The sequence below is a fragment of the Homo sapiens genome, chromosome 7 (assembly GCF_000001405.40).
Source record: "Homo sapiens chromosome 7, GRCh38.p14 Primary Assembly".
Taxonomy (NCBI): domain Eukaryota; kingdom Metazoa; phylum Chordata; class Mammalia; order Primates; family Hominidae; genus Homo; species Homo sapiens.
Genome location: NC_000007.14, coordinates 76,662,763 through 76,689,392, shown reverse-complemented (window position 1 = coordinate 76,689,392; position 26,630 = coordinate 76,662,763). Strand labels below are relative to the sequence as shown.

At 35.4% G+C, this 26,630-nt stretch overlaps 1 annotated feature.

The window, feature by feature from the left end:
- Positions 15,522 to 16,090: an enhancer, noted in NCBI's record as "OCT4-NANOG hESC enhancer chr7:76302620-76303188 (GRCh37/hg19 assembly coordinates)". NCBI's record gives its function as "activates a minimal SCP1, AML or CMV promoter by ChIP-STARR-seq in naive and primed H9 embryonic stem cells {active_cell/tissue: H9 hESC(naive and primed)}" and the evidence as "EXISTENCE:reporter gene assay evidence [ECO:0000049][PMID:30033119]".

Sequence of the window (26,630 nt, the reverse complement as noted above, 5' to 3'; positions counted from 1 at the left end):
CAAGAATCTTAGGGATACCATATTTAATTTTAATTTCCACAGAAATTGATTTAAATCGATTCTGACAAAGTACCTTTTAGAGGTGAGTGAGCCTTGAGCCACAAAAAAGATTGAATTGCAGTCAAGCAAATCCATTCAGGAACCAGCATTCAAAGCCACTGTAAATTCTGTCGCTTCTTCATTTAGGTCCCAGCTCCTTCATTATGTTGACACGTATGTTAGAAAATATTCTCAATTACTCTAAAATTACCAGGAGATCAAAGTACTGGAGACAGAACAAACAAGTTTGTGAGAAACTTAAAAATAATGATGCTCTTCTGACAAAAAAAAAAGTATTTTTGAGGACTTTGTTTTTCATTTTCTTTCTTATGAATCTCTAAGGTCTCCACTGAAATTTATATCATATCAAAAGTGAAAAACAAAATGGAATAGCTATTTTTCTACCTCATAACTTTCATGAGTAAAACATTCATCTTTCCTGCTGAAGGGAAGAAGACACTTCCTTCATAATAATTCTTAACTTTTTCTTCATGATACTGTGCATCAGAGAAGACAATAGATGGACTATAATAGGACAGATGAAAATCAAGGCTTCGAACATTTTGATAGGTGATGGAAATAATCATTTATTTAAGTATCATCACACAGTTCTTGGTAAACAAGAAAGTATATTCAGCGCAGCTCTGATAAATTTTAGTTGAAAAGAATCTCCCTTTGCTAAGTTTTCAATTTTGTTCCAGATAGATGAAAACCATAGAAAGCACTTATAATCTCTTTCTTAATCATAGATCTGGAGACAAGGTATACTAGAATATATTTGGAGCTAGATATTGATATGTAGTAGACTACATTGAATAAGTTAATAACTCTCTTTAAATGAAAAAGATATTCCATGAACCTATTGATTTGAGTCATTTAAATACATTACACTGTACCTGCCTTTTGGTAATTATACCAATTAGATTGGAGAACCATTTATCAGGGTGCCAATTAAGTAAATTCTATACTTTCTGGAACTTAACAAAACGGTCTAGATCGGACTGACTAAATAACTCCTATGTTCCTAGGCACTTTAGTTGACTTGATCATGTAGCATGACAATAATTTCCTACTATATGAACTAGGGTTATAGCTACTGAAAGACATAGTTTATTCATTTAGTTTGCTTTATCATCTGAATTTGAAAGCTAAAAACTTTAACCAAAAAATATTGGCTTGGAATCTTACTTTTAATTTTGTTTAAAAACTGATTTCAATGAACATTTCCTTTTAGTTGATTCTTGAATTTAAAGGTTAATTAACTTAATGATTATTGGGTTGGTAGACATGTAATTGTGGTTGATTGAAATTTTTTTCACTGCCACATTTTTCAGAAGATACAGAAGAATGAATTAAGAATTAACTGACATTCAATAATAGTGGAAACTTAAAAAACCCTTATAATCAAATTTTTGCTAAAAAGGAGTTCCCGTTTTTTAAATTATTAAATCTAAAGGACTTTTTAAAGTGATTTTTTCTAACATCTATTAAAGAATGGAGATGTTCTCCAAGTATTTTAACCACTCTTTGAGGAGAAGGGTATGAAATTCTGTATAGTCACTCATAGAGTTACTATACTTAGTCACACTGTACATTATTGAGCAGAACACCAAGAGGTGGTAAATATTCAAAAACACAACTATTCATTTAATTTTTGTAACTGACATTTAGAGTATTATAATTATATACTAATAAAATATGAAACAAAACATTTCTGAAACAGAATAGTTTTGCTGAGAAATCTCCAAGCCATTTTTCTGTTGCCAGTATCTAAATATACAAATGTTTTTACTAAGTCACATGAGATGCTGGTGTTGGTCAAAGAAATTCTATCAGTTGTTTTAAGTGAAAGATATACTTAGATATTAAGTAGTCAGTTAAATAATTATTTTGTACTCAAATCAGCTCTTTTTAAAATTATGTAGTTCAACACTATGGGTGTCAATGTAGTGCTTTTTCTGAGAATACATAATATATTGCAAAATTCAAATAATGTGAAGGAGTTCTTATGCATTTTTACAGTGCAACAAAGTGGTACTCACAGGTTGGGGAGAAGTGAGAAGAATTGAAATCTCGATTGAATTTGAAGAGGTATATATGATGAGGAGATATGAGAGGCAACCTTTGAGGAAGTGAGTGGTACAGCAATTGAAAACAAGTTTTGTAAATCAAGTTGGAAGAGATTATCCTACATCATCATAGCAGATCAGATATCAGAAGAAATAACTATAACACAAGAACCAAAATAATCAAATAATTTCAGATATTAAATTTAAAATTTTAATCAATTCTAAATGATATACACACAAATTAGTTTGCTTGCAAAAGTCAGAGAAAGCCTATTTTGCTTAATTATAGTCCTTGTAAACATTTCTCTCTACATCTATTTACTGTTATGACTTGTAGCAGCAAGAAAACCCTTTAAAGTCAATATACTTAATATCCATAAGGGGAGATGACTTAAGTTAGTTTTTAATCAATTTAAGGCAGTTTAACATATACTTGAGGATCTACTAAGCTACAGATGTTCTTCTGAGGACTTCAGGGAGTGTAAATATGAACATGAAGCACTCCTTACAGCAGCTTACAATCTGAGAACTAAGGTAGAAGGAGTTTACATATGAATGAATTACATGATAGAATAAGGTGAGTGCCAAAGTACAAAATGGTGTAAAAGCGTTTACCAGAAACAACAATTATCTTAGATGGTTAGGAGGAATCAAGAAAAATATCCAAAAGGAAGTAGACCTCTGCACATTTGCCCACTTATTCATAGCCAACAATGGAAAAAATGTGGAACATGATGAAGAAAGAGCTTATGGCCAAGACGGGTTGAAGTGTAGTGCAAGTGGTAAGGGGAAGTGGAAAATGAGGCAAGAAAGATAGACTGGAGTCAAATTGCAGGGCTTTGAATGCTGAGTTGACAATTATTAGCCAAAAAAAGTGACACTGCCTCTTCCATCACAGAATAGATGACAGTAGACCATTCTAAGAGATGCACATTGAAAAAACATTTAGAGAGCATGATGCGGCCTTTGAGGAATTTAATCATGAAACATTTATTGAAGACCTATTATGTGCCAGGGCTGCTTTGATTGTGAAATTTGTGCTATGCATGAAGACTACAGAAACACAAAGTAAAGTCCTAGTCCTTAAATGGTTCAAAAGTGAATGAGAAAGGACACTTCCAGAAGTGCTGTGTAAACAATTTAGGATATTATCAGGAAACAGGGGATGTTTGGATTATCTATTACCATGTAAGAAGAAATCCCAAAGCAGTGGTGTTATGGGTTGGATTGTGTCCCCACAAATTTATATGCTGAAATCCCAATCCCAAGTACCTTAGAATATGACTGTATTTGGAGTGTTAAAATACCTTAAAATGGAGACAAGGCCTAAAAAATCTCTGAGAAGATGAAACCAGTGAGGCCTCATAAATGACTTAAACCTTGCTTGATTTGCAAACATCAGTGAAACTTAACTTGAGCTACTTCTTGTAAATGCCTGTATTAAAGAAAAGCAGAGCTTAAGCTCAACCAATCAGAAGTAGCCGATAAACTTATAATTGTAAAACTAGAGACTTTCCAATGGGATAGGCCAAAGAAGGCAATTGTATAATTGTACTCAATCAAATATTTTCTTTGCTTTCCCTCTGTATTCATCCTATAAAAGCCTCCTCCTTGCATTTCCTCATTGGAGCTCTTGAACCACTTCTGGTTTGGAGCTACCGAACTCATGAATTGTTGCTTGCTCAAATAAACTCTTTAAGGTTTTATTGAGCCTCAGTTTACTCTTCATCAGGAGTAGGATGTTTAAAGAGTTAATTAAAATGAGGTTGTATGGGTAGCTCTTGTCCAATATGACTGGCATTCTTTTAAGAAGAAGAAATTAAGCACAGACACACACACAGGAAAGACCACTGGGAAGATGTAAGGAGAAGACAGCAATCTATAAGCCAAGAAGTCAAGCCATAGGAAAAACGAACCCTTCTGACACTTCGACTTCAGACTTCTAGCCTCCAAAACTGTGAGAAAATCAAGTTCTGTTGTTTAAGTCACCCAGTCTGTGGCACTTTGTCATGTCAGCTCCATGGCTCTTGGGTCTGGTCTTTAAATTCTTGGTTCTGCTTCTGAATTATCCTTCCTCTTCCATAATATGTAACATGTGTTTGATGAAGTAGTTTTCTCAGTCTGCTTCCTGCTTGTATAAATTTGGAGTCTAAAGACCCCTTTTCATTTTTTAGTGTCTCTGCTCTCACAGTCCAAGTTGGCAGTGTTACTCCATGAATAAATGTTTTAAAAATATTGAGTTTGTGTCATTATGTAAAAGCCATATCTATACAACACCAGATGATGTGAGTCATCTGAACACTGGAGGATCTGCTTCTAAGATGGTTCACTCACACAGCAGGCAAGGTGGTGCTCTGTCAGCTGTAAAGCATAGCCATGACTACAGAGTGGGAACTTCTGTTCTTTCAACATGGGCTGGTCCAAGTAGCCTGGGTTACTTGGCTCATTTCCAGGGGTGATCATTTTAAGAGAAGGAGAGAAAGAGACAGAGAGAGGGAGAAAAGAGAGAGAGCGAGAGAGCACTAGCACCAGGTGGATGCACTATCCCCTTTTAATGCCTAGCCTTAGATGTACACAGCTTTGCTTCTGCCATACCATATCAGTTGAAAAAGTCAAAAAGTCATAAGGACCTACCCAGGTTCAGAGAGAAGTACATACACTCAACTTCTTGATGGAGTAGGGGCAATGTTCTAGAAGAGAATATGGGTCCAGACATATGATGGCCATTTTTGGAATACTCATTCTGCTCTCCAGTGAGCTTTGAGTCTGAGTATCTGTTCCAGAATGAATGTACAAATCAAGATATGCTTGAGAGAAGACAATATTTTAGCTTTGTTATATTTAGCTATGTAATAGAATATTAATAATAAAGTATTAACCAATGTCATATATTTTGGGAGCTTTTTATGCTTCATTTTATTTAATGCTAACAATAATCCAAAAAGGTAGATTTTATTATTCTTTATGATAGATGAAGTAACTGAGGCTTAGAAATGCTATTTAGTTTGGTATTTAATTACTAAAGCTCACATTACTGTGGTACTTCCTAGAGTATGTTCAAATGCTGATGAAACTAATCCTACAAATATAGAGATATATGTTTTAGGAAAGATGGATAACTGTAGGAATAAAGTTCTTGAGTTGACAAAAAAAGGGATGAGATCCAGTGTATCATTGGAAGTTTTGGCCGTAGCAATAAAGTTCATCAGTTGTAACAGGTGGAAAATGGAGTTCATGGGCATAGATAATGATAATTAGGTAGAATTGTTAGTGATAAAATGAAGTATTTTGTTTTATGACAGCATCCATTTCCTCAGTGAAATAGGAGGCAAGACTATCAGCTGAGGCATGGTTATCAAACTTTGACCATGGAGCCATTATGAAATAGTCAAGTTTGGGAGTGGAGGATGGGGGTAGCAAGAGGATGGCGGGGCTGTGCTCAGCACCTACTTGAGGTCTGTGGTCATGAATTTATCTGAGACCAGGTGTTCACTGAAGTCAGGTGTTTTTCTCTAGTGATAGTTCACTGCTGGGTTTAGATGCAAAACAGGAAGAACATTTAAATGTATCCAGTGGTGTAATTTTTGAAATAGCATGAAGAAGGGTAGGAGAGGAAAAGACATTTTGAAAATGTATAAATAAATAATTTCTGTGATTGGTCTCACGATCTAACTAAGGAAAAGTAGAAAGTCAAACGTGACAAATGACAAAACAGAAAAAAAAAATGCAGGTCCCAGTGCAGTGAAAAAATGTGGGAATAAAGTAAAGAAAACTCCATAGTCATAACAAAGAGATCAGTGAGTACCTGTAGAGTCAGTGCCTGACCCTTATTCCTTCCTTCTGGTCCTCCTTCCAAACGAAAACAGTTTTTGGTTGTTGCTGTTATTGTTTTGGTCTGAGGACTTTCTTTTCCTTTGCAAATCATAAGCGTAAGAGAATTAATACCTTTCTGAATAGACTGCAACCAAGGACTGCTGGCAGTTATAAATACTCCAAATCCCTCTCCCTTAGGTGTGATAAATTTGAGACTGTGTCTTACACCATTTCCCAAACTTCCCCAGTTGGATTAGGCTTCAGCCAGCCAGGTGGGAACTTGCTGGACAACGCACCTTTAATTGACTCTATCTCTTTCCTGTCTTGCTTCCTCGCTCCCTACTACTGTTCCCTGTAATCATTTCCCAAATAAACTAATTCTATTCAAGTCCTTATTTCAAGGCCTGCTTTCTCAGGGGACCCAACCAACAACTCCTCCTTTGAGCCTCAAGAGCTCCTCTCAAAACACTTACCAAAATACACTTTGTGGTTTCTTACTTGTCCTTCTCTCCATTAGACTGTTTCCCCATGAAAGGAAAAGTATGTCACCACCTTTCTGTCTCCTTCTCCTAGTACAGTTCCTGCTATGTAATAACAACAACTTAAATATACAGTAAATGGAACAGAATGCTCAATTAAAATGGATGCTTTTGCTGACAAAGGATTGGAAGTATCTTCTGAACTTGTGGAGGCAAAACTAGATTAGGTTCAGTATAACATGAACATTATTTGTAGCATATTCTTGGCAATGTAATTCTTTGAAATTGATAATCCACAGTAGAATGTCAAGTCTAAAATTTTCACCAGCCAAAATATATCACTATTTTAGATTGTTAAATTTGAGGGAGTTGAATAATATAATATGGTCTCTTCAGATACATATTTAACGATGCTAAGGAGTTGTGTGATTACACATTTATCATTTTTCCCTAAGCTGTTTATTCTATGAATTCTTTTAACGTCAGCAACACAGAAATAACTGTAGGAAAATTTTTGTTTTTTGCATCATAAACACTTAACATGGAAGATGCTGAGTAAATATTCATAGAATAAACATTCTTGTGACAAAGATTATCATTTTAAAGTAAATTATTGTTGGAATAGATTAAAATGTTTTTAAAATTAGGAAATAAAAGCACAGTAATAAAGTTCTTTATATATTTTTTAATTGTGATTTGACTATCATCTAAGTAACTGCTATTTATATACCTGTTTGCTACTGCTGATTACTTTATAAAGTTCAATTACTCTGATGGCTAAATATCACAGTCATTGTGTAACTAACTAAACCAAAAGCCATACTCGCTGTGATACAGATATATTTGTGACAATGCTTATTTGCATTTGCATATCTCAACAACTGCTCAAGTATCTGCTTTCTAGCAATTAGGCAGCTGCTACTTAAAATCAATAGTGGTAAACTCTGGTTGTGTTTGGTTTGGAAACGAAGTGTTGTCTTGTGCAGCATTCTGGTACTTTGCAGAGTATTAATGAAGTCACTTTGCTTCATGCTGTTGTGTCACAGCTACTTGGCATCCTTTCCTCCTCAGCTGGCTATTGCATTACTTCATCTATTTTCCTTTCATCCTTTGTCTCATTCACAGGCTTTGCCTTTGAATGGTTTTGAATTTCCCTTGTCAAGAGTTAATTTACACTTTTTAAAAAATGTATAGCTGTGAAGCCTGACCTGGTTGAAATATGTTGGGTAATTTATTAACAAAAGCTGTGTGTGAACTATTTAGGAGTTCCATTTGAATTTCCTAAACAGTTGGGGAATTAGCTTCATGGAGGGCACAGGTATGTATGGTAAAAACTGGCAGGCAAGTGGACATTAATTGACTGAAAAGAGAGCTTCAGTCATACTGGCTTCTGTACAAGTAAAACAATCAGTTTTGAGTGATGAATTATATCTAACCCTGTGCTAATAATTGAAATATGTACAAAACACTCATATCAAATCTCCTGTATGCGTTGCCTTTGTAGTGTTATGGCTTATACTTTAGCACCAAATTTTGCCTTGTTATGGTGTTTGTGTAAGTTCGCTTAGGATAGAAACATGTTTTAGAAGTATAGTACAAAAAATAGCTTAAAAATATAATGATGGAGTTAAACTAAATGCTATCGGAATACTGCTCTACAGTTTTTAAAGACACCATGCTGTCTCATACCAGTGTACCTTTTTTGCACATGATATTTTTTCTGAAATTTACTTCCCTCACCGCAAGCCCCATCTCCTGCCTACCCTAGGAAATTCTGCATTTCTTTCAAGTCTGTGCACAAACTTCACCTGAATCTCCCAGGCTAAGTGAGACAGTCCATTCATCCTCCTTAATCCCATTGTACTTGTCTCTGGAAGACAGGATAATACATGCCATGGAATTAACTATGTGCTAAAGGCTTTAGTAGGATGATAAATGCTCGAACTCAAAACTCCCTAATTTTGTTAAATATATATCTGAAGAGACAATATTGTACTTTGTCACCAATTCTCAGTATTTTACATAATTAGGCTCACTAAATAAATATTTCTAAAGGCATTGCTTTGCAGATATGTCTTATAAAGTCTCCTAAATCATTTCACTTTAATCCAGGATTTAATATTACTGTGTTGCTCTACAGCCTTTGGGCTTTATCCTTTTAGAACATTTTGTAACTCTTTTTCTCTATCACCTGAAGTCTCACTATTTTTCTTCTGGATCTTCATCCTTTTCCCTAAGTCAACCATATAAGCTACCTTAAAAATAGTTAAGAGTTGTAATGAGAGGTACACAACAATTTCTTTTCTGCTATAAACCCTGGAATTAGTTGCATGAAGTTTTGGTTGACCATATCTCAAAATCACAGTCTTAATGCCCGTCACAGCAAAATGAGGTGCTATCTGCATGGAATTAGTTGCATGAAGTTTTGGTTGACCATATCTCAAAATCACAGTCTTAATGCCCGTCACAGCAAAATGAGATGCTATCTGCCAGTAGAAAAAACTTCAAAAAATACAGAATATACAGATCCCTCCTATATATTTGATTATGTGAATGTTTAGTTTCCCTTCCTAATTTAGGGATACTAAATAAAACATTTAAGAACTTAAAGAAGATAATATTTGCTTGCTTCTCACTGTGCAAGAAATCCCATTATAGTGCCATCGAATAAATGAATTATACTGAGTCTTAGAGTCGCTTTGGGTTTGGAGATTTTAATACTTTACAGAGGTAGTCTACTCAAAGTATGCCAATTTTTCATGTTTTGTTTTTAGGGTGGGGATTCATGCCTATCTTGGAGCCATGAATACAGTAATTGGAAAACAAGTGGCTCTTTAAACATTCTTCTACTATTGCTCAAACTATAGACCTATAAAATGTATAGACTTGAATCATTTAAAAATATTGTATGTTAAGCTTTAGAAGTCAATAAGCTTGAGTTGTACTAAGGGCTTCTTAAATGTAAAGGTTAAAAGCCTTCCACTAACTATATCATGATGATTAAAAACCATACATTTAAATTTGGAATTGAGCATATAAATCATTCAATCAACTAGAAAATCATGGGAACAAGAAGGTAACTTTTAGGCATTTCTTAACCAAATCATCTCTATTCTCTACATGCATCAATAATAACTCGAGTATTTGATTTAGAAATGTGTCTATTTTGTAATGAGCTGCTTCACAGTGGAAAAAAAAAAAGGTGGGGAAAGCTGAAACCAATTTTCTAACACCTTAGACTGTAGTCCATCAGAAATGCAAATGTGAAATTCCCTGAAGTTATGATAAGCTTCATAGACAAAACAATGACTTTCATAGAAGATAATTTGTAGCATTCAGGAACTGAAAAGTTGGCTTTGGATGATTAGAGACTCAAAGAAGAAAGGCAGAAGTATCAGTCTGAATGAAGATATGTTTATTCAGCTTACATAAAGTCATAGCCAGCCATCTTACAGGTTTTATTAAATTTGAGTTTCCTCAAGTCTAAAATATTCTCATTCTCATAGCATAAATCGCTAACTTTAAGAGTGTGTGTGTGTGTGTGTGTGTGTGTGTAAATCTGATCATATTGAAATGCAGGTGAATGTTTGGCTCCACTATGTCTATTTACTTAACCTTGGCACTCACCACACAAACCAGCTTGCCCCCTATTTCCATCCATAGCAGCATCAGGTTTCTTTGAAGTCTGTAAACCTAGCTGCCAAGGTAATTCTAGTTTTGGAAAGCATCACGTAGTTGAGACACAAAGTTAGAAATCAGTTAAATATTGAGTTAGGGGTAGGTTGACAGAAATAGGGAATTGTCTGAAGAGTAGTACAGATTGCAGTGATTATTTCAGGGGCAATTTAAGTTCTCTGATTTAAGCCTTCAGCTGGCTGTTAAGGATTGACAGAACAGATTTATTTGTTTGTCCTTTCATTCATTTATTCAACATTTGCTTGAAGGAGTACTTGTTGTAATAGAGAGATGGATAAGCTCCGGAGGCTGGAGCCACAGGTGAGTGGAGGTGGGTGGGTGGAATGGTGGGGAGGGTCAATACCCAAAAACTTTGTTGCACCTTTTTATTTACATGTGTATGACAAGGTAAGAGACAGACACTTTTTAAAAAGATATGATCTTGCAAGATTAACGTGTGCACTGGAAAATTATGTGGGATAGGGAAGGGAGTTTCTCAGTAGAAGGAAGAGTGCTGGTGAAGTTGTCAAAGTTTCCCACCACCTGGTGTATCTACGGGTAACTAGAACAGGTGACTAGGTTGAAGCAAGGGAGGTCACAGGAACAGGTCACATTGGAGAGCTAAGTGTATGCACATGTCACTGAAGTGCTTTAATCGCAGTGCCGTCCCTCCAAGTAGGAGTGCTGAGGATTTCCCTGATACACAAGGCTCTTTCAGGACTTAATTTCACTTCACTCTCTGTTTCTTAGTCTTCTAAATGTTTTGGACCATTAAAAGGGACTGGAGAATGGCCATGCCAAGTGGCCTGTATAAAAAGTAAGCAAAGTCATGGGGCCAGAATGCCATTTTTCTGAATGAACCACAAATGGCATGCTGTTGATGGAAAACCACTGAAGACAGGAAGAAGAGGAACAGGCAGTTTGAAGGTAAGCACAAAAATCAGGCATTGGCTTGGCTTCTGCCATTGGTGAGACTCCCATTCAATGATTTCACACAGCCCCTGAGCTGGCCACCAAAACTGTCTCCTTATTTCTCTCCATGCTGACCTCCTGCTCCCCTCAGCCACTGCTCATTCCCTCTTCTCCCAGACACGAAAATTTTAGGTCGCTTTTCCTCATTCCTCTACACTGTCCTAAGCCTCAGTAGTAGTCTTCTTCTTATCTCTCCCGGAGTGGGAGCTGGATTCTGGTATAAACTGTGCTGATTCCCTCAGGTTTCCTAGCTGAATGTTCAATGCCTGATTATTGACTATTTTATTTGTTTGTTTTGTTTTGTTTTGTTTGAGATGGAATCTCGTTCTGTTGCCAGGCTGGAGTGCAGTGGCGCCATCTTGGCTCACTGCAGTCTCTGCCTCCTGGATTCAAACTATTCTCCTGCCTCAGCTTCCCAAGTAGTGCCCGCACCACTTGCAGCTAATTTTTGTATTTTCAGTAGAGATGGGGTTTCACCATGTTGGCCAGGATGGTCTCGATCTCTTGACCTTGTGATCCACCTGCCTCAGCCTCCCAAAGTGCTGGGATTACAGGCATGAGCCACCAGGCTCGGCAGACTATTTTCTTTCACTCTGTTTCCTGTTACTACCTTAGCAATGCAAATGCTTTCACTTAACTAAGGGTTACTTAGCAGGATGAGTAATACGCAAGATATTATATAGTTGTCCAGGTAAATAGAATACTTTTTCTCCTTAAGTTAATAATGAGCCATTGAAGTATTTTGGAAGGGAGAAAAAGTCAACAACAATGATTTGCTTCTTAGAAAGTTCCCTTTGTCTAAAGTGGGAAGGATAGATGGTGGGAGTAGCTGACTATAGAGGAGGAAGTGTGGGGAAACTATTGCTCAGGCCTGGGAGAGGGAAAACGGGGCCCTAAACCAAGGCAGTAGCAGATAGGATGCAGAGGAGGTTCTGCACTAAGGAGATGTTAAGGAGACGTGGAGACTACACTCTTGGGGAAATAAAAAGGAACAAAAAACTAAGATAGTCTCTTTTAGGCATAACCAGCTGGGGGGATAGTAGTGCCATTGCCCATATAGAATGCAGAAGTAACCTACTTGAGCAAAATTATTTTGAGTTCAGTTTTGGACAAATTGAGCTTGTCTGAGTGAAGATATATTTATGCTATGGTTCATCAGAGGACCTGGACTAGAAATTTATATTTGGACAGCAGCTACATCATATGGTGGTTGGTGCTCAGGGTGAGAATGAGATGAGGAAGGGAAAGTATAGATGGAACAGTGAGCCTGTGACAGAGCTTTTAGTTCCTCCATTCTTACTTCCTCTACAGAACTGTCGGAATCTTTAAGTAAATCAGCTTCCCCACAGTCCTCAGTGTATTCCACTGGGATTTAGGAAGGAAGACATTTTATTGATCCAGTTTGAGAAATTCTTGCCATCAATAATTGTGAATACTTGCCAGATGGCTCAAAACAAGAAATGAGATCAAATAAAATCTGGAGTATTGCCTGAATGCAAACTTTTATAGGTCTAATGATGTGGTCAAATATATATGGACAGTGTTGAGATTAGAGCTTTCATCAAAGCCGTATGTTTCTGCTTGCTTTGCCTATAATTGCATTCCCATTTGTGGTAACAAAATACCTAAAAGTAACCTCAATGAAACACGTCTAGTGTATATTTAATGAAAACTACCAAATATAGAGAGAATTAAAGCAGACTTAAGAAGTTGGATAGATACACCATGCTTCAAGCAAGAGGGATGTATATTTAAATATATCTTCATGCTAAATTATTTTATTTATTTAATGTAATTTCATTATAAATAAAAGAAATAATTTTTGAAAAACTGGAAATTAAAATTTCAAATTCCATATGTTAAATCATATGAGGAGAGCTAGTTTTCAAAAAATTAAAATGAGGAGCAAGACATAATAGACATCAAATGTTATAAAACTATAATACTTAAGTGAACATGGTACTAACAAAATTAGATAGACCTCGATGAACACTACAAAACATATTTATAAGAATTAGACCTTATCTTCCATGAGAACTACTACAGTCATAGAGGTATCACAAACCAGTGAGAAGGAGACAGATTATTTAATAAAACTGTTTTGGTAATCAGTTTGCTATTTAGAAAATAATGAATTTATATACTCAACTCATATATTATTCCAAAATAAGATATGAGATGCAAACATTCAAACATGAATTCAGGGAGAAATAAAAATAATAATTCATTAAATCACAAGATAATGAGATGGTTATCATTTTAAGTATATTACAGTAAAAATGGATTTTTGGTACATCAAGTTAGAACCTTGTTCAAAAAGAATACAAAGTTAATACAATTAAGTAGGTCACATTAGATGAAATATCAATATTATTAATAGTAACAATATTAATAAATGAAGACTTCAGAAATCAATCAAAAAATCCTATAATTCCAATAGATAAGTGGCCAAGGAATATGATCTGATGTTTAAAGAAAGAGAACATATAAATCGTTAATAAGCACATGGGGAAAATGAAATATAAATTTTTATTCTATTAAAATTAAGCATATGAAATCGTACATAATAATAAATGTGTGGTCAAATATAGTATGATAAAATTATTCCAGAAATAATTTGAGACAATTATGATTTTTCTTTTGACACAGGGTCTGACTCTGTTGCCCAGGCTAGAGTGCAATGGCACAATCACAACTCACTGCATCCTCAACCTCCCAGGCTCATGAGTTCACCCATCTCAGCCTCCTAAGTAGTTGAGACCACAAGTGTGTGCCACTACGCCCAGCTAATTTCTAGAAAGTTTTCTGTAGCAACAGAGAATCCCTATGTTGCCCAGGCTGGTCTTCCGACTTCTGGGCTTAAGTGATCCTCCTGCCTCAGCCTTCCAAAGTGCTGGGATTACAGGCAAGAGCAACTGTGCCCAGCTGAAAATTTAAAGTTAATTATGCAATTTGATCTGGTAATTCCATATCTGGAAATCTATTATAAGAAATTAATTATAAACTCTGAAACATGAACAAAAAGATAAAATAAGCACAAATACTGATGACAGAATAATTCTGAACAATCAGTAGGATTGTGTCCTGTGATATTAATGTTATGTGTCAACTTGATTGGGTCAAGGGGTGCACAGATGTTTGGTTAAACAAATACCTGTTTTTGGATGAGGTGAGCATTTGAATCAATAGACTGGGGAAAGAAGATCTCCCTTCCCAACGTGGGTGGGAAGCATTCAATCTGTTGAAGGCTTGAATAGAAGAAAAAAGGCAGAGAAATGGAGAATTCACTCTCTCTCCCTGACTGGATGGGCTAGAACATCCATATTCTCCTGCCTTTGAGCTGAAACTTATACCATCTTCTCCCCAGTTCTCAGACATTGGACTTGGATTAGAACTTATACCATCAGCCTCCTGGTTCTCAGGCCTTTGGACTCAGATTAGAACTAACTCACTGGCTTTCCTCAGTCACCAGCTTGCAGAGGGCAGATCATGGGACTTCTCAGTCTCCAAAATCAAGTAAGCAAATTCCTCATGATTAATCTCTTTATAAATCTGTTTCTATATCTGTATCTCTCTATATATCTATATTGGTTCTCTTTCTCTGGAGAACCCTGACTGATACAGAATCTCTGTTTATGATAGAATCATGGCTAAGTAATTATAGTATATACATTCGGTGAGCTTTTATAATGCCATTAAATATTATATAAGAGACGCTAGCTCTTGGAAAAATATATATATATATATCATTTTCATAAATGAAAAGGAAGGGTTTGGAGTTGCATAATCACTATAAAAAGCAAATATATAAATACAACAAATAAACAAAGAAGTGAGTTAAAACACACTTGGATTACTATAAAGAGGCAAAGATGTTCGTGATATTTTTAAACAAGATATATTTTTGGATTTCCCAAAATAAATTTATATTAATTTTAAAATGAAAATAATCACCTTAATAGGGGGTCTACCAGCCAAAAATATTAAGTAAACCTGATAAAATGTGTACCTTGTTATGCCTTGAGAACACTAGAATACACAGGAAGACTCACACATAAGTACAAATGCATGCCATCTACTACCCAAATACACACACTGAAAAATAGAAAGCACTGGCCCACTTGACTGCTAATGCTTCCACAGGTTCTGGAGTACTTAAACTTCATTTAAATACGGCCACTTAAGCAGAATGGGGGAATATTTAACACTATAATGCCAATAAATCACTTCTCTTGGCATAAAGTGGCTCCTAGGCAAGAAATACCCAAAAAGGGACTGGGATGGTTTGTTATATGCGTTTCTTACTAGAATATAAATCAATTTACTCCTGTTAGTGAACAGTGGTAATATCTTCAGTCCTGTTAGTGAACAGTGGTAACATCTCATACTCACATGCATACATACTTTTTTCTATCAGAGAAGCATGGAATATTGATACAGGAGATAGAAATAAACTGTTTAGGCAGATAGTAAGGGCAAGAGTCCTTGGTGCAGTTTCCCTTTTTAACAAAAAGCAGCCCCCAAATCATTTCTTTTCTAACAAAGAGCAGCCTGAAAAATTGAGCTGCAGACATAGATAAGCAAGCTGGAAGCTTGCATGGGTGAATGCCAGCAGCTGTGCCAATAGAAAAGAGCTACCTGGGGGCCAGGTAGGTTCAACATGGAGGCTCTATCTTCCCTTTTCTTTGTCACCAGGTGTACAGTAAACAAACAGGCAACATGGCGCTGGCAAGGTAGAAAATCCGTCTGCATAATAAAAGATCAGGGTGGGGGTGGCCAGCTTTTTGCGCCATATGCAAATGGCACACCTAGTCCTAATTAGTTTTTTGTGCCCTATGCAAATGACATACCTGGTCCAACCAATCTTTTGTGCCCTATGTAAATCAGACACTGTCTCCTCAGGATCATCTATAAAACCTGCTGCATTTAACCCAGAAGAGAGCTCTTCTCTTTCTTTTGCCTATTAAACTTCTGCTCTGAACCTCACTCTTCGCGTGTCCATGTCCTAGTTTTCTGTGGCCATGAGACAACGAACCTCTGTATCACCCCAGACAAATGACGCTGCTTCAATATCATGAAGACACATGTTAAAGAAAGTAAAAATTTGAAGATAAAAATAAAGTTGAAAAAAACTCTGGCCTGGAAAGATCAATACTAAATATTCAGTCATGAAATTTGTATAACAAAATTAATGTTCACCTTTCCAGGAAATGTCAATAATTTGTTTTTCTTGCATATTTATTACAAGGGCTCTCTGATGACTAGAATTGATTTCTTTTTCACAAACATTTAATATGGGAAGATTATTTTAAGATACTGATATGCAGTTAAGTTTATGATAATGAATGTAGGTAGGTTTGTATTAAGTTTTACGTAAAAATCATAATTAGATGCTGCAAAATACAAATGTGTTTGCCATTGCAGCTTTGCTACACTTTGGTAGCTACTTACAATTTTTCTTTAATGTTTAATGCCAGCCTCAGGGTTCTGCTGTGCCTGAATCCTATTGTCCTCATTGACTCTGGGGAGTCCAGTTCCAAAGCAGTGTCCCCTCCATCGACCCTGGCTTAGAAAGGACACAGTGTTGGTGCCATCCTTACTAGCTCATCCCATATTGATTTACTAAGTGGAGAGTCCTCTGGGCTCTCATTGAGAAATAGGTCAGATAGTGAATAAATTCATTCTAGCACGCCTACCTCTCTAAGGATTTTTAATTCTTCCACACTATTCTGCCAAGGCATTTCAGCATCTCCATCCATTTATTAGAGGCCAGCATTTTTTTCCCCAAGCTTCAGGGAGCCATTTTAGTAGCAAATTAGAACAAGCTCCAGGTGTCCTTGTCAGTATGTTGCATACTGTACCATTAGATTGTTTCTTATATTTACAAACTCTCCCCTGTATAGCTTTATATTCTGCATGCCACTCAACACCTTCCCTCCATTCATCTAGTGCCCTCAAAACTCATTCCTGGGGCCCTGTCAGTACATATTTGCAAGAACTATAGTTTTTTTTTTGAGGGGGTGAGGGATGGAAGAATCCCTTTCTTCCCAGAGGAGGTAATTTACTAAACTTTATACCAGCTATTAGTCTAGAAATGATGAGGGGAAGTGGAGGGAAATCTTGGAAAATTCCATTATCAACTTGGGGGAAGCATCCATCTCAGCAGAGGCCTCTGCAAGGTCTCCAGGCAAGAGAAGCAGACCTCTTCTGCAGCCTTGGAGGATTCAAGGGAATGGGGGATTAAGTATTCTCAAGTGTGTCTGCTCAGATATTCCCCTCCCAGGTAGCCAGGGCACATTCTTTTTGCACCTAGGCCCTTTATTCAGCAGAGGAGACATAAGTACTAGGAATCATGCCTTCTCTGTAACTCACCTACTCTCACAATTAGGTGCTGGGTCTAGTTTTTGTCCTGATCTGCCCTCTAGTTGCAGGAGATGAAGGAATCTTTAAATACTGTCAAAGATCCCCTTTGGCCCCTCCCACCCCACCGGGAAAAGGTATCTGTTTTCGGATTTGAGCCTGTCAGCATTTTAATTTCGCTTATTAATAGAATTTTAAAACAACGAAAGAATTCCACAGTCTGTAATGACCGTTGCCACCATACCTCTTAAATATCAGTGATATTGCATCCTCTTCCACAGATATTCCATTTCATTTCACCACTGGTGAAAAGGGCATTAATGGTTATGCTATAGAATGTCAAAGATTATCATTATCCCGACTACCACCAGCAATGCAGTCTTTTGCTATCTGGCCAGCCCCAAGACCCAACCCCAAAGTTCTCTCTGAGGATCTGTTTCCTAGAACAATTTCTAACTCCTTTAATTAGGTGACCCTAAGAGAATCAGACCCTGAGAAAAGGATGATACACCCTTTGTTTATTTGGGAGCTGCAGGAAAAACAAGCAGAGGACTGTGGAGATGATACAGGAAGGGAAAAGCAGGCCGTCAAGTTGTTCTGGAGCACAATCCCCAGGTCAGCTCTGAGAAAAGGTGAAAAGACATGCCTCAGGATTATTCTTGCCAAGATGAGCAACCTAGGGTATTAAACCCACTGGCAAAGGCTCTCAGAGACATGCTAGCCCCCAGACATTTCTGGTCAGCTGTGCATTGGCAAAGAAGGTTCTGGAAACAGAGGACAGCCTTCCAGTACAGATGGCAGTATGGGTGGGGAGTCAGACTGCCACTCATAGAAGAGATAAAGGACCCAAAGGGAAATGGGCAGGGAACTGACTATGATAAATATAAGTTTAATGTATTTTTCATTTCTTATTGAAATAATGATGAGTTAAACATAGTCTTAAATTGCTGGGTAAAATATATATTTTTGTAGATAAATAAACCAGATAGTTCTGTTAAGTTACTTCAAATATCAGTAATAGAACATAGTAATCAAATCTTAAACATAGCAATCAGAAAGACAATTTTTTAAAAGTGGCAAAACACTCACAAAGCAGAATTGTTGCAAGAAATCATTTACTCAAAAATTATGTAGTAAATGCCTCTCCAAGGGTAAAGATATACAGGTGTGAGAGCACAATCTCTACTATCAGGTACATAATAGGTGACCAATTAGTGCAAATTCATTATTGCTGATTTAAGTAAAGTACTTAATAGTAAGCTATTTTAAAGAAATTTGTTCAGATTAGTGATTATTCTCATGGATTAGTACTTAACAATTTACAATTAAACCAGTAATAATACTTAAATGCAACAACTGGGCAAACTATTGCTTGGAAATTCACTGAGAATTGATCCACATTTTGAAACATCACATCACTGACAGCAGTGCTGCTAGTGGTATTTAAAATCATAAGGAACACTTGAATTTATTATTTCAATTATTTAATAAAGTTTTTACTGAGCACATACCATGTTTCAGGCATAGCTCCAGGTACAAAGGAAATAGCAGTGAACTAAGTAGAATAAACACATGGCTTTCTGAAGTTTACATAACCTTCACTTATAGCTACAACTTCATTGTAATTACACCTAGGGGTTTAAGTATCTGATTATTTCATTATGTCTTCTAGTGCTGTTACGTTGAGCAGTTTTTTAGAGAAATATTAACTTTATTAGTTGTCTTTACTCCTCCTTTATACTACATTTAGGGCACTGTATTTTTTAATTATCTGTGTAGGTATTATGTGTATATTTAATTTCAGGATAGTAGAGGGAGCATTCCACATTATTTATTATCAAAGTAAGTATTACATCTGATGGAATTGATAACAACTTCATTAAAGTACACACATTCTTACTGTCAAGAAAGTGATAAGGTCCTTGGGATCCATTATATGGATGGCAGCCTGGAGATTCTACAGTAAATATCCTGGTATCTTCAAAAAGATGTAATGCCAACTTAAAAATAAATATAAATTACTTCTAAAATCACTTTATCACCAAAGAGAAAAATATGGTATAAACATCTATGAAGTTTCTCAACTAGAAAATATTTGTTGTTGTTGTATTTCCGAAGTAATAATTCTCTATATCTCTATAGTGGGGAAAATATCCAATGCTTCAGTTGCTAATTTGCCCACACCCCTTTCTTCAGTTATTGAGATAGTCTGACAATTCTTACTGTCTTTTAATGACCCAATTCCCTTACATAGGCCAGGATCTCCACATTCATTTCTCAGTTGGAGGTCTTCATTTGCATATTCTGCAGATATTTCAAATCCCAAATGTAACTCATTTTCAATTCCTTTACCCAAATTTACTCTCTATCTTTTCTCTCTCTGAAAATGGCATGAGGACATCCACCCAGTTGAATAGTTAAAGACTGAAGAATCACCCTGAATGCCTCCTTCTCACTTGTATCCAATCCATCTATCTCCTGATCTGCTGTGAAATTCTCATCACCCTATTCCTATTGATACTACTCCATTTTAGAGAATCATCATTCCTAGCCTAGATGGCCAAAAAAGCTTCATAAGTTGTCTCCTTGCTTTGATACCATCTGATCTTGCCTATTTCTCATCCACTTTCCTCTTTGTAGCATCCAAAGTAATCCTTCTAGAAAGGAAATCTGATTATGTCATGTACATGTTAACAATCTTTTCAGTGGCATCACATTACCTCTGGATTAAAGTTCAAACTCTGAAACAGGATCAGATTTAATTCTCCAGGTTCTATTTTCCTTATTTTTAGTTCTTTACTCATAAACTCCTTCTCATCATTCAGGCTTCCTTGGAGGTGTCACTTCCATCATGGAATCTTGGATCACCTACCCAGGTCTAGGATTGATAGGTTTCCTACGTGCTCTCAAAAAATACTGTCTTGACAGGGCTTATCACAATATGTAGCAAGCAACACTTGGTCTCTCACTTGTCTTATGGGCATAGAGGTGTTCAATATGTTAGTTAAATTAATATGTAAAAGAGCTATTATTAAATAGTAAGGTAAGGTATATTCAGTTATAATATTGAATATATTTTGAAATATATAAACAGGTGTTTTTAGTTATAAGACTACTTTTAGAGCAGTTTTGTCCTATAGAAAAATTGAGCAGAAAGTACAGAAAGTTCTCATATGTACTTGCCTACCCCAGTTTCCTCTATTATTAATATCTTGCATTTGTATAATACATTTATTACAATTGATGAACCAATACTGATACATTGTTAGCTAAAGTTCATTGGTTACATTATAATATATTCGGTTTTCTATTTTTTCTTTGTTTCTGGTACTTCAGAATAAATCAGAAAATTACATTGTGTATTTTATAAACATAAATGAAATTTCTGAATATTTGAGCCAAAAATGGGCAAACACTGGTGATATTTGTCTAATATACTTAATTCAGTAAACAAATATTTGTAAGTACCACAAATATGTGAAGGACAGCACTAGATTCTGAGGGCTCAAAGCTGAATAAGACAAAGCCCCTGCCCTTACTGAGCTCCAAGAAGAAGAGAAGATGAATGAGTAACCTAATAATGTAGGGCAAGATGATAGGTCCTGTGATGGGGTATCTACAGAGTGCCACATCAGTGAAGGAGAGGGTTTTTAAAATCAGATTGCATGGAGAATGTGACTAGGAAAAGTTTTCCAGGGGACATAATTATTTGAACTGAATGTTGAAGTTTGAATAGAATTTAGCAGGTAAAAGAGAAGCACAAGCATTTCAGTTTGAAAAACAGCATTTTGCATAACAGCAGTGTGAATGTCGGAATCCTGAAACAACAGAACATAGCTAAAGAGAAGGAGAACAGAAGTTACAACGCAAGAGAAAGAGACATCACTCAGTTAATGAAGGGCCTTCATGTCTAAGCTAAAATTTTGACTTTTATCTTCAAAAATAGAAAGAACATTAAGTGGGAAAATGAGATTATTGGTTTTATTTTATTAAAAAGATCATTCTCTATTGCTAGAGGAAAATAAATTTAAAAATGAGTTCATGTATGTTCATACATTTATGCTCAAAATTTTAAGATAAATCACTGGTAGAATAAACATAGGTATATTATTCTCAAATCACTAGAAAACAAAAACGAAAGAAACTTTGAATAGTATAGCAAAATCAGTGAACTGACTGGGGAATAGCATGAAAACTTAAGAGCATAAAATATATAGTAGATAACAGAAGCAAGCCCAACTGAAAAAAAAAAAAAGTGTTAAACCCTACTACTTGAAAACTCGGGAATTAGATTGCAAAACAAAAAACAACGAAAATACATGAAGACTGATAGCTAAATAATATACAAAATGAAAAATAATGTGACATAAAGAAAATTACAAATAAAAGCATTAGTGGCAATATCATATTGTACAAATATCATCATTTATAATCATCATAGCAATTCTTTGTTTAGCATGTTGTCAGGTATTATATGAGGATAAAAGGTGTACTGTAACATGAAGATTTAGCTATCAAAAGTCATCTATGAGACAAATAATATATCTCTGAACTATATTAAATGTTCAAAATAAAAAATAAATGGGAAAATAATTATTTTTCAAACTTTCTGAAGATAAAATAATCAGAAATCAAATGAAGAAATTAAGAAATTGAATAATATAATTAATGTTTTAGTTCCTAGGCAGAAAATATATATTTTTAAAAAATATTTTCAAATACTCATGAGGTATTTTTAAATATTGATTATATCCTGGGTCTTAAAAAAACTCAAAAGGAAAAGAATAAATCATAACAATTCTACTTATCTTATTTCAGTGAAATAAAAACATTAATAACAAAAGCATTACTTAAGGAACATATTAAATCACATAGGAACCAAAAATAATAACCTAAAGAACTCTTGAGTCAAAGAGGATATCAACTTCTCAAGACAGAATATATCAAAAAGTAGGAAACACAGACAAATATGATATGCACTCTGAAAATTTATGCCTGCAAAATAGGGAAAATAAAAATAAATGAGCTAAATATGCCACTCATAGAAATGTGGTAGGCAGAATTCTATGAGACTCCCAAGATTTCTGTCTGTTGATAAACACACACCTTTTCCCATTATTCAATCAAATACCAATTTAGATGCTGTTGTGAAGGATTTTGCTAGTGTAAATTAGGGTCTAAAACCAGCTGACCTTAAGATAGGAAAATTGTGCCTGGCTCAACCATGTCATCTCTTTAAATCTGGGTCCAGAGGTAAGAGACAAGAAGTCAGAGATTCAAAGCATAGGAAGGATTGAACATATTGTTATAGGCTTGAAGATTGAATACAGTGTTGCAGGCTTGAAGACGGAGAGGTCACATAGCAAGGAATGTGGGGGGACTCTAGAAGCTGAGAGAAGCTACTGGGTTGACAGTCAAAAAGAACACCAGGACCTCATTCCTACAAGAGGAAGGAAATGAATTTTGCAAACAAGAATGATCCTGGAGGCTGATTTTTCCTCAGAACTTCCAAAGAAGACTCAGCATAACCAACACCTTGAGTTTAGCCCTATGATACACTGAGAGGAGAAACCAGTGATGTCACGCAAACTTCTGACTTGCAGTGAGCTAATAAATGGGTGTTGTTTTAAGCTGCAAAATCTCCTATAGTTTGTTCGCAGCAATAAATATTAACAGGGAGATAAGAAAGTACACTGAATTAACTCCTATTGATTTAGGATGTTTGCTCTTTTAGCTCAGCTCGGTTTGGGTTATTGTCTCATGACCAGGAAAAATTAGGCACGCAAACCTCAAAGAGTGAGTGGAGTAAAATTTAAGGGAAAGAAAAGCTCTCAGCAAAAACAGGTGACACGGGAGGGGTGGGGTGGTTCTCCTACCTGAAGACAGGAAGGTTTTCTAATGTGGTGGAGCCTGGGGCTTTTTATGAGCTCAGAATAGGGAGTGTGTGCTGATTTGTTTGTGAGTATGCAAAAAAGGTCAAAGTGAAGAACACCATTCAAAGATGGGCACTACAGTGTAGAAAAACAATTAAGAAAGGGTAGGGATATGTAAAATACGTGAAGGATGGGGATCAAGGTCAGAGGATAGTGCATGAAACAGGAAGGCAGGTTCTTAATGGGGTCCAAGGATTTACCAGGAACAGTTTCCAACTTGAAGATTGGGTTTCATTGGGACCTGCCCCTATCTGCCTGGGCATCTGTCTGCCTCCTGCCTCGATCACTATGAAATCAGTAGAAAGGAAGTTGTAAAGATAATAACATAAGTAAGGGAAGTTAGAAATGAAAATACATCTAATGCTAGTTATTTAAGAACTATAATGAAATAGATAAATCTCTAAAAGATACTCATGGGAAAATGCGTGAGAATAGTAATTCACAATATTAGTGTATGAAAGGTGATACAATCACTGTCATAGAAATGTTTTTTCAGATTAATTACATACATGAAATTGTGCTTAAGACATTTAAACACTAAGTGAAATAGTAAACTTTTTGTCATAAAGTTAGGTTATTATACAGAATAAAGAAATTGTTCAAATAGTTTCATGACCCAGATGGTTTCATAGTTGAGTTTCTACAAACTTAAAAAAATTATTTTATGATATATTGATGAACTATAGTTGTATATATTTATGAAGTAAAAAGTGGCATTATAATTTTTGAATGTAATATGAAAAGTTTAAATTAAGCTAATAAACATATCCATCACCTCAAATACTTAATATTCTTTTGTGATGAGAACATTAGAAATTTACTTGTTATGATATCGTAATATATAAATTAATTATTAGCTATATTCATCATGTTGGCAATTAGTCAAAAAAAAATCAAAGTTATTCTTCCTTACTGAGGCTTCACTATCATTTCCCCACTACCCCACCCCCAGCCTCTGGTTACTATCATTCTACTCGCTGCTTCCATGAGTTCAGTTGTTTTAGATTCCACATATAAGTAAGAACATATGGTATTTGTCTTTTTATGTTTGGGTTATTGTACTTAGCATAATGTTCTTCAATTCCATTCATGTTGTCACAAATGATTGACTTTCTCCCTTTTTAAGGGTTGAATTGTATTCCATTGTGAATATATTATCACGTTTTCTTTATTTATTCATCCTTTGATGGACACATTAATGGTTGATTTCATAATTTGACTATTGTGAACAGTGCTGCAAACTTTTAAGAAGACACAATTTCTTTGCTTTTCAATCCCTTCCAAGACACGGAGAAAAGAACAGAAACTTTCTAATTAATTTTTTAAGCTAGGATGATGCTGTTAGCAAGCTTGTAATAAATATTAAATAAACAGAACAAAAAAAGATACAGCAATCTACAGACAAATTTAGGTTATAGATAGAGAGATACAAAGTGAAAGATATTAGTAAGTCAAATTCATCAGAGCTTTAAATTCAGAAAGTACCATTATTAAGTGATAGTCTCTGAGAAGATTCAAATATTTTTCATTATTCAAAAATAGATTTCCATAATCAATCATATTACACGGGCAAAGCGGAAAATTTTGATGAACTTTTTGACAGATGCCAAGAAATCTTTAATAAATTGAATTCAATTTCTGGTATCAGACACATTTCCTCACTAAATACTATCATGATATGTTTAGTTCAACTAGGCAACAGGAAATATTTAAGCCAACATTATGCATCAGCAAAATCTTAAAAGATGTGTCCACTGTAAAAGTAATAAGAATGCAAAATGAAGTTGGGGAGTAATGGAGTTAAAAGGTCTATGGTTCAAGTAGTATAATGAAAGTGATAAATAATAGCTTGTTTTAAATTGTAATAAGTATAGAATGAGTTATATACTCTCTAGGGTAATCACTACAAAGTAGTTGTAGTTAATGAGTTAATATAAGAAAAACGTTCTCACAATATTTGACAAAATCAAAAGTCATCAAGAAAGCAGTTAAAAAGGGACTTTGCAGGATAGCAGACATAATCACAGCTCTATCCATTATTATTTTAAATGAAAATAGATCAAATTTATTAAGGAAAAAACAATTATGTTTAAGATATAAAACAACAACTATATATTGTTTATAAGAATACACTTTAAATATAAGAATGCAGAATGGTTGAAAGTGAAATAATGGAAGAAAGCATGATAATCACTAACCAACAGAGAGCTAGTTCTGCTGTGCTAATTAATGTAAGTCAAAGTAAGACAATGACTAGAGATAAGAGGGACATTTTAAAATATAGAGTCTATCCAATAGGAAGATAGCACAATACCAAATGGGTATTCATCCACTACCATAGCTACATACTACAGAACCTAAAAAAGAAAAGAATAAATCTGCAATTTTTTTTTTTTGAGACGGAGTCTCACTTTGTCGCCCAGGCTGGAGTGCAGCAGTGTGATCTCAGCTCACTGCAAGCTCCGCCTCCCGGGTTCACGCCATTCTCCTGCCTCAGCCTCCCAAGTAGCTGGGACTACAGGCGCCTGCCACCACGCCCGGCTAATTTTTTGTATTTTTAGTAGAGACGGGGTTTCACCGTGTTAGCCAGGATGGTCTCAATCTCCCGACCTCGTGATCCACCCGCCTCGGCCTCCCAAAGTGCTGGGATTACAGGCGTGAGCCACCGTGCCTGGTCTAAATCTGCAATTATTTAACACTCTTCTCTCTATAACTGATAGAACTGGCAAAACAAAAAATGAGATGGTACGAATAATTAAATTTTTAAACATGAACTAATCGATATATAGAAAACACAACACCTGCGGAAAGCAAGGTATATATTAAGTATACATGTATGAAATTTAACCATATGCTAGGCCAAAAAGGTAGCTTCAACAATATCTAAGGATTGAAGTTACTCAGTTATGCTATGAGAAGAAATTAATCTAGAAGTCAATAATAAAAATAAAATTAGAAACTTCCCAACTGCATAATATTAAATAATACATTTCTTAGTATTTCAAGGTTTAAGTAAAAAAAATCAAGCAAAGTAGAAAATATTTTGGTGTGATTTATAATGAAAATATAACAGTGTAGAATGTATGCAAGATATGGAACTTCTGCTCCTAGTCAAGCTGAATTTACCTTTCCTTCTTAAACAACTAGGGAATAGGGGGAAAAATATGAAACAAATGTTTTCAGACATTTATTGCAGGAATTCAACAGATAGTGCAGGAATATGATCCATGCGAGAAGGCTATTAAACAAAGTGAGGCCTACAATTACAGGCACTAACTCTGTGGAAGCAT